At 40.7% G+C, this 15668-nt stretch overlaps 1 protein-coding gene across 6 annotated transcripts in view; it reads right to left on the reverse strand.

Moving 5' to 3' along the window:
* Positions 1–15668, reverse strand: part of ACOT12 (acyl-CoA thioesterase 12) — an 85526-nt gene that overhangs the window by 13283 nt on the left and 56575 nt on the right. For 4 of the 6 annotated variants that reach the window (XM_017009047.2, XM_017009046.2, XM_017009045.2 and 1 more), the window contains 4 exons: positions 13877–14010; positions 10586–10714; positions 8923–9049; positions 8522–8652 (listed from right to left, as the gene is read on the reverse strand). In XM_017009047.2, coding sequence (XP_016864536.1) covers positions 8522–8652; positions 8923–9049; positions 10586–10714; positions 13877–14010 — 521 coding nt within the window. Of the gene's footprint in view, positions 1–8104; positions 8653–8922; positions 9050–10585; positions 10715–13876; positions 14011–15668 lie in introns of those variants that run through there. The other 2 variants (NM_130767.3, XM_006714532.3) reach the window with 2 other exon arrangements.

Raw genomic sequence — 15668 nt, forward strand, 5'->3', positions numbered from 1 at the left:
AGTGGAGATTGTGCCACTGCACTCCAGCCTGGGAAACAAAGCAAGACTCTGTCTCAAAAAGAAAGATAAGGTGAACAGAACACTGAACTGGAAGATGAATCTAAAGAAATTCAAATTCACAGAGAAATGCTGAGATCGATATATGTGAAAAGGGGTTAACAGACATTGAGGACAGAATGAGAAGGCCTCACAAATTTATAATAGAATGGGAAAGAGGCAATATTTTTTTAAATGGCCAAGAATTTCTCAGAATCATTGAGGCTTTTCTTTTTCCTTTCAGGAAACTCAATATATCCCAAGAAGTTTAAATAAGAAGAAATACACAATTAGGCATTATAGTGTATTGCAGAACCATAAAATAAGGAGATTATTTTAAAGCATTCAGAGAGAAAATACATTACCTACAAAGAAAAACAATATTCTCTGTCACAGTAACAATGAAAGCCAGGAAATGGTGTATAATGTCTTTAATATTATTTAATATTATTCCGGAAGGCGGAAGTTGCAGTGAGCCGAGATGGCACCATTGCATTACAGCCTAGGCAACAAGAGGGAAACTCTGTCTCAAAAAATAAACAAAAAAAAAACCCCACATACATGTTAGATAATAAGAATTTAAAAGAAAAAGGGAAGTTGGCGTGGGTGGGGGTTGATTTTAAATAAGGGGCTTAGGAAAGGCCTCTTTTATAAGATAGATTTTGAGGATAGACCAAAAGGAGGTGAGGGAGTAAGCCTTGGTGTATTAGTCTGTTCTCAACAGTACTGCTATGAAGAAATACCTGAGACAGTAATTTATAAAGGAAAGAGGTTTAATTACTCACAGTTCTGCATAGCTGAGAAGGCCTCAGGAAACTTAAAATCATGGTGGAAGGCAAAGCAGAAGCAGGCACCTTCTTCACAGGGCAGAGGATGGAGTGAATGCCAGCAGGGGAAATGCCAGACGCTTATAAAACCATCAGATCTCGTGAGACTCACTCATTTTCATGAGAACAGCACGGGAGAATTCGCCTCATGATTCAATTATCTCCTTCACCTGGTCCTGCCCTTGACATGTGGGGATTATAGGGATTACAATTCAAGGTGAAATGTGGGTGGGGACACAGCAAAAGCATATCACCTTGGGTATCCTGAGGTGAGAGAATAGATAAATGCAATTATACTGAGGAAGGAGCATGCCTGGTATAGCAAAAAGAAAAAAAAAAAAAAAAAACAGCAGAGAGACCAATATGGCTGGAAAAGAATGAAGGAACAAACTAGTAAAAGATCATATAGTTAACAAGGCTCAAATCTTGTAGGCTCTATCAGTCAGTTTCTGCTAAGTAACAATCACAAAATTTCAGAAGTATACAAGAATAACCATTTATTTAGCTCATGCCCGTGGGTCAGAGATCTAGGCTGGGCATACCTAGACAGCCCTGCAAAACCTAGCTGGGCTTGTCCACATCCATCTGCAGTTCAGTTTGGGTTCGGCTGATCTAAGCTGGACTCAGATGAAGCAGGTCTGTTCCACGTGTCTCTCTTCCCTTTCCTGGGACCATCAGACTAACCTTGGCATGTTTTTCTCATGACAGTGGCAGAAATGCAAGAAGGAAAGTCCATTGCAAAAATACTTTTCAAGCCTTTGATTGCATGATGTCTGCTAACATTCCATTGATGTGTCACATGGTCAAGCCCAGAGACAAGGAGTAGGAAAGTATACTCCATTCATGAATGAAAGGCGACAGAATGAATAGTTCTGAATAATCATCTAATGTACCACGCAGACCCTTATAGACCATTATGAGACTGTGGCTCTTACCCTGTGATATGCAAAATTGTTAATGTGTTTTGAGGAGAAATGTGACATGATCAGGTACTGGGTTGAAAGTAGAATGAAGAGAGGAGCAAAAAAGAGAAATGGAAAGATAGGTTTTATATATATATGTATATGTATAAAATATATATGTATATGTATATGTACATGTATATGCATATGTATATATGTGTATATATGTATACATATATACGTATATATACACGTATATATACGTGTATATATACATATATGTGTATATATATATATATTTTTTAGACAGTGTCTCACTCTGTTGGCCAGGCTGGAGTGCAGTGGTGCGATCTTGGCTCACTGCAACCTCTGTCTCCTGGGCTCAAGCAATTCTTCTGCCTCAGCCTCCCAAGCAGCTGGGATTACAGGCATGTGCCACCATGCCCGGCTAATTTTTGTTTTTTAATAGAGACGGGGTTTCACCATGTTGGCCAGGATGGTCTCGAACTCTTGACCTCAGTTAATCTGCCTGCCTTGGCCTCCCAAAGTGCTGAGATTACAAGTGTGAGCCACTGTGCCAGGCAGGGAAGATAGGTTATAATCCAGATGAGAGAAGATAGCGTTTTGGATTAGGGCTTTAGTGGTAAAGTTGATAAGAAGTAGTAAGGTTCTCATTATATTTTTGACAAAAAGCCAATAGAATTTGCTGAAGGAAAGGGAATTTGTTGGGGGAAAGGTGGCAGAATTTGGGTGGTCTGTTTTGGAAATACTGACTTTGAGATGACTATTGTCCTAATGGAAATACCAAATAAGTACTTAAGTATACAAGCATGAAGTTCAGGAGAAATTAAGCCTAGAGACATAGATGTGGGAATTTCTGGTAAATAGATGGCTTTTAAACCCAGATACTGGTTAGACTCACTGAGGAATAGATATAGAGGAGAAGAGGCCAAGGCCAGAGCCCTAGGGTAACCTAATATTGAGAGGCCTGATGGAACAGGAAGAACCACAAGAAAAGGCTTTAAAAATGGAATTAGTGATGTAGGAGGGATTCTAAGAGTGTGACATCATGGAAGTCAAGAAGAGAAAATGTTGCAAAAAGAAGCAAGGAGTCAACTTCACTGAAGGCTGCTCAGAGACTAAGTAAGTCAAGAACAGGGCCATTAGATTTGGCAATAGAAAAGACATAGTTGATCCTGATAATAGAAGTATTGTGGAGTAGTGGAGGTGGGAGTATAGTTAGGTAAATAAAATAAAGGTGTGAAGACCACCTCTATAGACCACTGGAATAGACATGGGGCAGGATTTAGGAAATGCATCCAGAAAAAGTATCGTTTTATTTTAAGAGACACCTGTGGTTGTGAAAATTAATCCAGTGGAGGTAAAGAAGCTCCTGAAGCAGAGAAAAAAGAGAACTGATGGAAGGGAGTCCTGGAGAAGGTGAGAGAAAGTGTTCTCTGCTAGGGGTAGAGATATTTCATCCATTATAACAGAAGAAAAAGCAAAGAAGTGAAAGGCGCATGGATGGGAATAGGAAAAGACTCCTGCCTGATGGTTTATATTTTCTCAATGAATATTTTTTGAAGTTCATGACCTGAGTCAGGGTAAGAGACACGAGAAGCTTGAGGGAAGAGGACTCAGTGTGAAATAGCAAACATCCAGGGAGATGGAGTAGAATTACCAGCCTCCTAAGCACCCTGTTAAAATTTGTGGTCACGAACTTAAAGTGAGACCAGTACACAATTTTCACCTGCTGTGTGCAGGAATGAAGTATTATGAATAGTTTAATTTAGCCATAGTTGGGGTTTTTGTCAGAGAAGCTGAATGAAAGGACAGAGGTGCAGTGTTTTCCAGGGAGTGATTATAATGATGGACCACGGAATCTAAGCCGGACAAGGAAACGGGGGGGCATGTAAAGCGGGAATGAGTTGTGTCCAATGATAAAAATACTTTTTTTCTAATCTATTTTCAGTATCTCCAAAATATCCCTAAATTGGATGTGAAAGGTGGTATCAGGTATATAATTTTTATAGGGTGCTTCATCCTTGCAGGTGTAAAATGAGAAAGGCATTTTTAATATCAGATTTCTCTGACTTTTGAATCTGGAGATGGTTTACTGTCAATAACTGTGAAGGGTTTGAGAGTCTTGCTTTCTCTTTTTAGAGACAGTGTCTCACAGTGTCTCACTCTGTCTCCCAGGCTGGAGTGTAGTGGCATGATCATGGCTCACTGCAGCCATGACTCCAGGGCTCAAGCAATCCTCCCACCTCAGCCTCCCAAGTGGCTGGGACTACAGGCATGCACCACCATGCCTGGTTGATTTTTTCATTTTTCATAGAGATGGAGTCTTGCTATGTTGCCCAGGCTGGTCTCAAACTGGGCTCAAGTGATCCATGTGCCTCAGCCTTCAAAAGTGCTGGGATTATAGGCATGAGCGACTGCACACCCAGCCCTGAGATTCTTTTTTTTTTTTTTTTTTTTTTTTTGTGAGTCGAAGTCTCGCCCTGTTGCCAGGCTTGAGTGCATTGGCATGATCTCGGCTCACTGCAACCTCCACCTCCTGGGTTCAAGCATTCTCCTGCCTCAGCCTTGTGAGTAGCTGGGATTACAGGCGCATGCCACCACGTCTGGCTAATTTTGTATTTTTAGTACAGATGGGGTTTCTTCATGTTGGTCAGGCTGGTCTCAAGCTCCCCATCTCAGGTGATCTGCCCACCTCACCCTCCCAAAGTGTTGGGATTACATTCATGAGCCACCACGCCTGGCCAAGAGTCTTAATATTAAGTTAGCCTCTTATTGTTTTGTGGATGTTGACAAAAGACACAAGACTTTTGGTTCAGAGATGAAGGACTATATTACTCATGACACAGCAAGCAGCATAAGTATCAGCATATTTGTGTTGCTTTCCTTTCCCTCCAAGTCCCACAGAGGTGACAAGAAGGGCCTAGTGAATGCTGCAGACATATTGGGCTTGTGTCACAGCTGAGGAACCAAAGGCCGATAACTTTTTGAGCAAGTAGCGAGCACTGTAGCAGGCAGCAAACAAGCCAGGCCTCCTCTGCCCAGAGAGTGAGCAGTTACACTGAATCATGCTGTGGTCACCTTGACCTATTTAGTTGTCTATGGGACTAGCTACAGAAATTGCTCAGAATTGGTAGACAGATTAGTCCTGTAGCCTGGCACACTCAGCAAGAATGTGCAAGACCACCCAGGGCTCATGGTGAGCTGTCTGTCCCCATAGTTTTAATACTTTGGAAAGGGGAAATAAATTATGAGCAAACTTAATAGTTCTTATTTTAATAATTTACTCTAAATCACAAGACTTATTCCTTTATATGTCTTTTTCAACATATATTTTCTTTTTTTAACTTAATCCCAAATATGATAGTATCAACATATATTTCAAGACTATCCTTATAACTATGCCAGTAAAATGTCCAAGCTTATTTCTGAAATGTGTAATAAGAAATATAAACAAAACCATGTGATTATATATATGTGATTATATATATGTGTATATATATATACACACACATATATATAATATATATACACACACACACACATATATATACATACACACATATATATATATACTAGTTTCTTTCCATTATTTATTAAAATTGATCATTTCCTAAAGATGTTTGAGTACAGGGTAAACTATATTCTGATTCATTTTCACATTTCTTTCACTAGATTTTTTTCTAAAACAAACATAATAGAGAAACCGAATGCAGATTAGTAACTAGATTGCATTGAAACCAGGAAGAATTAATAGGAATGAGCTTCCTTTTTTTTTGTTGAGACAGAGTCTCACTCTGTTGCGCAGGCTGGAGTGCAGTGGCACGATCTCTGCAAACTGCAACCTTCGCCTCCCAGGTTCAAGCAATTCTCCTGCCTCAGCCTCCTGAGTAGCTGGGATTACAGGTGCGCAGCACCACACCCAGCTAATTTTTGTATTTTTAGTAAAGACGGGGTTTCACCATGTTGGTCAGGCTGGTCTTGAACTCCTGACCTCAGGTGATCCACCCGCCTTGGCCTCCCAAAGTGCTGGGATTACAGGCGTGAGCCACCGCGGCTGGCTGAGATTCCTTTCTTAATCAAGAAGCTTTCGGTCCTGTTAGAAGCACTTGAAAACCCTTACCATCAAAAAAACAGCATGAAATTTTGAGTGTCCCTTAAGGATACTTTGACACTCCAAAGAAAAAAATCAGTGGGACTAATTTTTCTAGGTTTCCTCTGTCCTTAGTTTCCAGGGGGCTGACTGCTGATGAACTAACTTAGCTGCTTACCCTTGGAGCAAACGCGTTTGCTTAAAGCCTGGACATCAAAGAGAGTAGGGGAAGATGGTCTTTAATTCAGCTGTCTTTAATTTTCTCTCGCTCTGTTGAAGTCTCACCAGGTTCTTTGCTTTCCTAGAATGTGCCAGAAACACTCCCTTGCTTAGGGACTTTGCCTCGCCTAGTCCTTCGGTAGGAAGCATGCTGCATCCAGAGATCCTCAGCCCACTCCCTGTCTGCCTGCAGGCTTTTGCTCAAATGTCCCTCAAGGAAGCCTACACTGACCACCCTACTTAAAATATCAACCACCACCCCCAACCCTTCCCCAGCACTCTTCATCTTTACCCTGCTTAATTTTTCCTTATATCTTCTAATATTCTATATTAATTTTATTTATGATGTGAACAGAGTATGCTTCTGTTTCTTGCTGAACCCGCCGTGCCTAAGATGTGTCTAGCACAAAGTTCTCAATAAATATCTGAATGAATGAAAGAGTGAGTATATTCCTAAGAAAAAGGAAAATGCAAACTTAAGAGCTATTGTTAACTTTTACAACTGGAATGCCTTAGTTAATTTTGGCATTGTTTTAGACAATAGATTTCAAACTTTTGGAAATGCCCTAAGGAGAGCCTAAATGCATTGCTATCTTATCTTCTTGCCATGCTCATTTAGCATTTCTAAAGTCCAGTAGTCCTGAAAATGAGCTCTTCAATTCAGGATATGCTGAATGATCCAAGAAAGCGCCAGGTGGATGAGTCCTATGTTTTTGTTCAGAAACATAAAAGTGAAATATATTTAAAAAAGGGGTAGAAGGGATTGTTTGGCACTAAGATAGGTGAAAATGGGAAAACAGGACCTGTCTGCATTATTATAAGACTGGGACAAACTGAATAGAACAGCACTATCTAAAGAATCTTCTGTGATCATGGAAATATTCTATACCTGTATAGTCCAATTTGATAGCCACTAACCACAGGTGACTAATAATACTTGAAATGGGGCTAGTATGGTGGGAGAATTGATTTTTGAAATTTATTTAATTTTAATTAAATAGCACACGTGCCTAGTGCTATTTAATGACACATATTGGGGAATGCAGGAATAGACTATGCCTCTGTTGTCAATTAGAGTGGGCAACATCTTTATGTCTCAGAGTGATCCAGCTATCATCACTCTACTCCTTTAACTTCACAATGTTTCCGTTACTGTTCAGGAAAACATTTCAAAAAATGTAAACTCAAAGACCTAGGCTAGGCAGACAGCATTTGGAAGTGTCTCAATTGTAGGTGAGGTCTGAAATTTTAGTTTAATGTAACTCCTTCATTACTAATTTTGTTGACTTTTTCAAAATGTAAAAATATTCTCAAAACCATCTCTACTTCTGGAATATAATATATAATTATTTTAATCCACATATCCACTCTTCTTACGTATATAAATGTTAATGTATGAAATTGCAGAACAGTCCAAAGTTCATGTAAATGAAAACTTGCTGGCACAGGAAAAATGAAAATAATTATAACCAGGCTTACCTTGTGTGAATAGATGGGTGAGGGTTGGTAGGGGGAGCAGAGGTAGAACTTTAGCAAACTAACAGCAGGATGCATCTAATCTGTTAAGTGCTCCCACCAAAAATGGAGACTCCTTCAACTTTTAAAACGTGTCCTTGAGAGGAGGCTAGCTTGCCATATTCTGGCTTGTCTCATGAGTTAAGACAAATCACAGAGGAGAATACTGAATGTTGAAGTCTACGGAATAAAGTGCTAATGTAATGGTTATGAAAGAGATCACGGTCAATATTCTCTTTCTCTGTAATACTACATTTTACAGGTACCTTGTGTGTCTATTAGAGCAATAGACACTAAATTGGTCAGCCACCTGGAATATATGTTAAATGACACAAAGTTGTTCTTATTACTAAAATTGATTGGATTCCATTATGTTTTAATGTCTCCCTAATTTAAATCTCTAGACTATGTAATACATCTTGTCAAATGCTCCTGACATATAGACACCTGCTGCACGAGGAAGAATGCCATACATTAATCAACGAGTCAACTTAGCAAATCATTTTAGATTTTATAATTTTTTTTTTGGAATTTCACACAGAATGCATGTTTCACCTCTGTAACCTAAAAATGTTTACGATAATTTAAACTAAATTCATGCCATTTTATAGAACACATAGTACTGCATACAGGCAATTTTCCACTATCTGTGCCCCTGGAAGAGGCAGAGCCACAGATGACTTACAACAGAATTCTAAAGCTCTTTTAATGCTAATCCAAATCACTGGTATTTGACTTAAGATGCATTTTGTTTTTTAACTCCGTCACTGCATTTTGCTTAGGGTTATATTAAATTATTTTGTGGCCCCAAAGCTTGACAGATGTCAGGGCTAAGGGTGCTTGGAATTAAAAGTGGGAAATTAAATTACCAGTAATTGAAAGTTGACCTTTAAAATGTGCTTACAAACCCATCATCAGGAGGATTCTCTAAGAACTGTATACAAGAGGCTGCTGTTTCTTCAATGGATTTTGACCAGCCACCAAGATTTCCAGCAAAGTAAGGAAGGATGCTAGCAGACATATGGTTAAAGTAAGATACCTGTTTCAAAAAGAAAGTACAATATTTTAATTTCTTATTGACTTGGAGCTTTTTCAAGAAAGGATCTGAGTCTTGCTGGTGTAGGGGAGGCTAAGACCCTAATCTTCTGGGGGACCTTCTGGAATAGATGATCCGAAAGGATGACCTTAGGATTCCCATAGTGTGGACACAAATTACAAGATTACAATTAATTAGGACATCTGGGTAAATTAAGAGATTTTTCGCTATCTGGCAGAGCCAATTAATCTGCAGATGTTTCATCAAACTTACGATGCATGAATTGCTGTCAATAGCATGGATGAGAAATCCGGCACATATGATTTCACTTCTGATGTACTGTGGAGACGGGGGGACCGATGGCAAAATGACCGACTTCACTGCCACTGTGTAAGTGTTACTGAAAGAAAACACTTTCTAAGCTCTTGTGAGAAATAAAGAATAGTTGTTAGAAAATAAATCCCTATAGTTAACCCAATTTACTTATACAGGTAGAAGTGAAACTATGAAGGCCCAGATCTTCTAGAAGAGTGGTCTCATCAGAAAACACTCTACAGGCTACCTTCAAGGTAGGAAATAGTGTTTTCTGCCTTAGAATTGCATATACAATGCTTTGTGTAACTCCATGAAACTGGAGTCAACCACCAAACTGAAGTTTTATTGTGCCCGACAGGGTTGTAATTTCAGCCTCCTTTCCTTTTTAAATTAAAAAACAGGCCGGGTGCAGTGGCTCACGCCTGTAATCCCAGCACTTTGGGAGGCTGAGGCAGGCAGATCACCTGAGGTCAGGAGTTCGAGGCTATCCTGACCAACATGGAGAAACTCCATCTCTACTAAAAATATAAAATTAGCTGACCATGGTGGCGCATGCCTGTAATCCCAGCTACTTGGGAGGCTGAGGCAGGAGAATCGTTTGAACCCGGGAGGCAGAAGTTGCAGTGAGCTGAGATTGTGCCATTGCACTCCAGCCTGGGCAACACATCATCTAAAATAATAATAATAAAAACAATACCCATTGTTGTTAAAAGAAAAACTCTCAACAATAGAGAACCCTGTAGGCTACAAAATAAAAATCTTCCTCCAGTCCAATTGCGCTCCCATGCTATTTTCTACCCTAGAAGTGAACACGCTTAACATTTTACTGTATAGCCCTCTAGACTTTTTAAAATAAGTGTATAAGAATGACATTTATATAAGCAAATGCACACAAAATTTTTTACATAAATATCATTTTACAAATATTGACTACAATTTGATTTTTCATTTAGCAATAAATCTTTGAAGGTGTTTCTCTATCAGTCCCACTATAGCTCCTTCATCCTTTTTAATGATGGTACAATACTTTGTAGTATGGCTCTACCATAATTTATAAGATGGATTTTCCATTTGTTTCTAATATCTTTTGACATAATAAATGATACAACACTGAACATCTGTTAATACTCATATGTGTGTGGGATTATTTGGGACAGTTTCTCTTAGAAGCTAGCTGCCATGCTCTGAGAAGTTCAATGTACATGGAAAAACTATGTCTGGATACTCTGATCGACAGCCCCAGCTGACAACCAGCCATGGTGGATGTCTAGCATAGTCAAGCCTTGGTGAATTCTAAACCAATTCCTGATGTCTTATTTGGCTTCCACGACATTTTTACTAATCATGGTATGTTTCAAAGGTTTACTGAATACCAGTTTTACATTTACGTAGGAAAAGGAACTACTTTAGGATTCTTGCATTGTCCTTTGCAAACAGCTGGCTCTTAATAGATGACTGTTAATTTTTAAAATAATAGCTAAAGATTCATCTAGGTATAATTCAAATAAACATAATTCAAGAGCAGAAATATCTACACAGACTTCATTATTTTCACATCAACTTTTAATTTCTATCCTATACTATGAAATATTAATAGAACACTTGGACTGCATATACTCACCCATCTTTGAGGGGTTTTCTTCGTGATACGAGTACTACCAAGTCTTTGGGTTTGTCATCATTCAGTATAGGACAGGTGATGTGATACAGCTGATCATCTTCACTCACCCAGTCTATGACTTCACAGGACCTGTGTATATAGAACAGTGAAAAGCAGGTATACTTTCTACCTGCTCAGGCATTCACTTCCCTTATTTGCTTACATAATCTCATTATTTGTATCCATATTTGCCCCTTCAGCTCACCTAATCATCTCCCTAAAAGCCAGCATTATTGCTCAAGTCTGCCTTTAGAAGAGCTCTTTGAGGGTAGGCACAGTGGCTCATGCCTGCAATCCTAACACCTTGGGAGTCTGAGGTGGGAGGATCACTTGAGGCCAGGAGTTCAGGACTAACCTGGGCAAAATCTTGCAAAACCCTATCTTTATAAAAATTTTTTAAAAAATTATTTGAGTGTGGTGGTGCATGCCTGTACTCCCAGCTACTCGAGAGGTTGAGGTGGGAATATCACTTGAGCCTGAGAGGTTGAGGCTGCAGTGATCCATGACTGTGCCACTGCAGTCCAGCTTAGGTGACACAGTGAGATCTTAAAAAAAAAAAAAAAGCCACAACAAACAAACAAAAAACGCAAGAGCTCTTTGATCAGAAGGAATAATTCTGCAAGTGATAGAGGATGGTGGCCATCTGACTTCAAGTTCATAATTCTCAATACTTCAGTGAAAGGCATTGAGCTGTTTTACACAAAATTATTTTTCTCCAGGATCAAGTAAAAACATTGTGAGGACTGGTAAATCATATAGTCAGTCCAAGAAGGATTGTTTATATAGATAAAGAAATGTGGTATATTGGAAACCGCACTAGCTTTGGAGTCACACAACTTTCTTTTGACTCCCAGATTGCCACTTACTCGCTACATAAGTTGCGTTAGGCAAGTCATTTGATTTTTTCATCTGTAAAATTTAGATAATGATACGTGGGGTTATTGCAAGGATTCAGTGAAAACACCTGGCATAGTACCTGAATCATAGTACATGTACAAGAAAAGTTAGTTGGATTAGAATTCATTCATTCACTCCCCAATTTGTTCAACTTCAATTTGGCTGGAATGTCAAGTGACATAGAGATAGTGGGAGAAACATTTTTAAAGCATAACACCAAAGTTTAGGCATTGTTATTCCTAAAAGCTTGTACTGGTAGAGTATCTACTAAATTGATGCAAGAAAATTGAGAAGTGTTCCTCTTCTCTCAGAATGATTTATTATGATAGCATTAACCACGATGTATCATTCTGATACAGGAGGTGGGCAGGGAAATGTTGGGTAGGGAAGGGCAGGGTCCCTGGTGAGGGCTCCACCCTCGGGCCTGTGCCCACAGACCTAAATGAGGACAGGCATTTCTGTTTTCACACCCCAAAAGTTACCTTTTGGCCCACTGCACCCCACATCCTGTGCCCATAAAAAACCCGAGACCCTAGCGGGCTGGATGTTGAGAGGAACAGAGGAGCACACTGCCAGACACCAGCAGACGCTGGCAGACCATCGATGGTGGAAAGACATGGAATTCAGTCAGGGGTGGTCAGAGGAGAGTCTGGTGGCTGGGCAGCCTGACTCCAGAAGAAGACCACCTTCCCACTCCATCCTCCTTCTGGCTCCCCATCCATCTTGCTAAAAGCAACTTCCACCACTCAATAAACCTTGCACCCATCCTCCAAGGCCACGCGTGAGCCGTTTTTTCCAGTACACTAACGCAAGAATCCAGGATACAGAAAGCCCTCTGTTCTTGCAATAAGGCAGAGGGTCTGATCGAGCTGATTAACACAGGCTGCCTGCAGACAGCAAAACTGAAAGAGCGCATCGTAACACACACCCACCGGGGCTTCAGAAGCCATAAACAGTCAACCCTAGATGCTGCCGTGGGGTCAGAGCTCAAAAACACTCCCCACGACTTAAGCGACTTAAGCGTCTGCATGATCCCTCTAGGGGTTTGAGCAGCACGGAAGAAACAAGCCACACCCTTGTCGCAGGCCCTATGAGGAGGATAAGGGAACTCCTCCCATTTCAACTCTAGCATCTGTGCCAATGTAACACGTGACCTCAGAGATGTTTCACTTTAGTGGTATTAAATCATATGTTACATGGTATTTCTAAATCTCTATCACAGTGAGTTTTAGAAAATTTGAAGATGAGCCTCTATCTTGTCAAGATTAGGAAACGCTTAACACATAGGAAGCCCATCTCATCAACTCTTCCGTGTCAACAAGGTGGGCCATGAAGCCCTGCGGGGTGCTATAGCCAAGGTGGCTGGGCCCCAGTGCAGCTGGTCTCTGTCAGTGCAGTTGGCAGGGTGCACAGCTCTGTACTGTGTTCCAGGAAAGGGCTGGGGAGTGGAGGAGATTGGATTAGGGATGCAGGAGACAGGGAGTGGCAGGAGTGGGAGATGTAGGCTAATAGGAGCAGGGACATCATCAGGAGGGGGAGCAGGAAGGCATGCCTTTCACCTCGGGGCTCACACAGCTTGCTCTCTTAGCTTCTCACCAGGGAGGGTTGCTTCACAGAAAAGTAAGGAACTGCCAATGAAATATTGAGAGTATGCAGGACAATTGGATAATCACTTCCTCAAGAGCAATGAGGTTGCATATTAAAGTAGAAGAGTGTAGAATTCAGAGCATGACAGACTTGGGTTCCAGTTTGGGTTCCATCACTTTATTGCCTGTGCAATCTTGGCACGTCTCAGAACCTCTTAAATGGAAATAATATTGACCTTGAAGTTACTGGTAGAATTACAATAGATGTGTGTAAAGCAGGTCAACTCAATATAGATGATAAGTGAGTATAATTTTTGTTTTGTGTCTCTCAATATCACCTGATGCAGTATTCTGTCCAGATCAAACTTTATTTTTATTTTAATTTTTGACAGGGTCTCCTGTGTCACCCAGGCTAGAGTGCAGTGGTGTGATCTTGGCTCACTGTAGCCTTGACCTCCCAGACTCATGCAATCCTCCCACCTGGGTCTCCCGGGTAGCTAGGATTACAGGCATGCACCACCATGTCCAGCTAATTTTTGTGTATTTTATAGAGATGGGCTTTCACCATGTTGCCCAGGCTGGTCTTGAACTCCCGGACTCAACTATCCACCTGCCTCAGCCTCCCAAAGTGCTATGCTGGGTCAAACTTCTAAAAATACTCTTTAAACAATGGGTCACACATTGGACGATGGAGATGGACTTCAGTATGGAGATCATCTTTTACATTATGTCAAGGTTGATTGAGAAAAATTTTTAAATTTGTTCTTACACAAAATGGGGGTCCCACAAAGGTCGCTTTGTAAAGTCAGACAAGAGACGATAAGCCAAATGTGCTGGACTTCCCACGTGCTTTTCAACCCAAACAGATAAAACATCATGCTCTTCCAGAGTATATATTTTTATCTAAAAGACAACAAAAAAATTAAATTACGAAAGAAAACTGATGCTTTTACTTTAGAAACCATATGCATATATATGTAGTCATAGACCAATTGCACTAACTAAGGCATCTTATTTCCTGGATGAAATTGAAGCCCCATGGCAATTTCTCTTCAAATACTGGGATGTCTAGAGGTCTGTCCAGGATGCTGTAGTCTCGTGTCCTCTAAACAATATGTGACTTGAGGGTGGGCTATTTAATTATTGCACAACAGTTTTTTTTTTTCTCATGAAAAATGTAAAAACCTAGGCCTTTCTCTCCTTGTCTCTTTGTGATGTTTCCCTGCCTCTACTGAGGAAAAAAAGAAAATATCACCAGACTGCTAGGCAGGTCAGCACCTCATCTCCCTCAAAAGAGCAGAGTCAAGGCTATAGCTTAGGACACTTTCCCAGGATGTCAGGCGTGTCTTTAAGTGGGCCAAGGGGATCCAGGAACTGAATCAACCACTTCTAGAACCATCTCAGCCTCTTAGCAGGGCCCCTGGAGCACCATATTTCCTCAGCACGAAGCACCCTTTCATTTCCGAATCACAGTGGCTGGATCATCCTTCTGAAAGGCCAGTTCCTGGTTTCCTAATGCACATTATTCCTTAGGTAAGAGGAGGCTTGTCCTGGGGAGCCATTTGACATATACTTAAGCATGAATGCATCCCTTGCTACTCTGAGCTTTTCTTCTACTGTGTTTTTGACAATAATCAGAGATGTGTGTTCAGCTAAGAACACATTTCTATCCTTCCCGTTTTCTTTATCTCTTTCAGGATACTTTGAAGTTAGTGTTGAAATTTGCTACCTTATAACCATTCCCATGGCAACAAGCTGTGAGAAAACAAACAAATATGGGGTTAGGACTTCACTGCAGGAATCAAGCAGATGGGAAAAATCAGGCTGTAAAGGAGAAGGCTTTATTTAAACATAAATATCATCAATAAGAGAATGAGAAAATGAGAAATTAACTACAAGCTGCTCAGAAAGGAAACAAGTGATTATTTGCTTACACCATTTAACCTCTCCAATTGAACTTGGTTCCAAGCCTCCCTTTAAATCCAGCCTGCAAAGGAAGACATGACTGAGGCTGTGAGCACTTATCAAACACCAAGAAAACTAGGGATGGGGCTCCAGGTGGCTGGTGAGACACACCCTACTTAGCATGGGCATGCCTAACTTTGCCCCCAGCACAGGGGGAGTTGAAGGAGTTTCATTGGTGTATATCCAGAGAGATTATCAGATTCATCAGTCATCCAATCGGTGGTTGGTAGGTAAGTGGCTCTAGGATGGCCTGCTGGGGCTCTGCAATCTCAGAGGAGCTGAGGGCAGGTGGCCAGGGTGAACTCCATAGTGCCAGTCCTAATCTGCCCTTGGGGCAGCCATGCTCCATTCTGGTGGAACAAGATGGAGTGGGATGCAATATTGTGCTGAGCACTTATTAAGAGTTGAATTATTTCTCTACCCTTCCACCCCCAAATTCATATGCTGTAGCCCCAACCTCCTGTACCTCAGAATCTGACCTTATATGGAAATGGGGCTCTTGCAGATGTAATTAGTCAAGATGAGGTTGTGCTGTGGTAGGATGGGCCCCTAATCCAATATGACTGGCATCCTTATTAAAAAGGGACATTGGACAT

This window comes from Homo sapiens, chromosome 5 (genome assembly GCF_000001405.40).
Source record: "Homo sapiens chromosome 5, GRCh38.p14 Primary Assembly".
Lineage (NCBI taxonomy): Eukaryota > Metazoa > Chordata > Mammalia > Primates > Hominidae > Homo > Homo sapiens.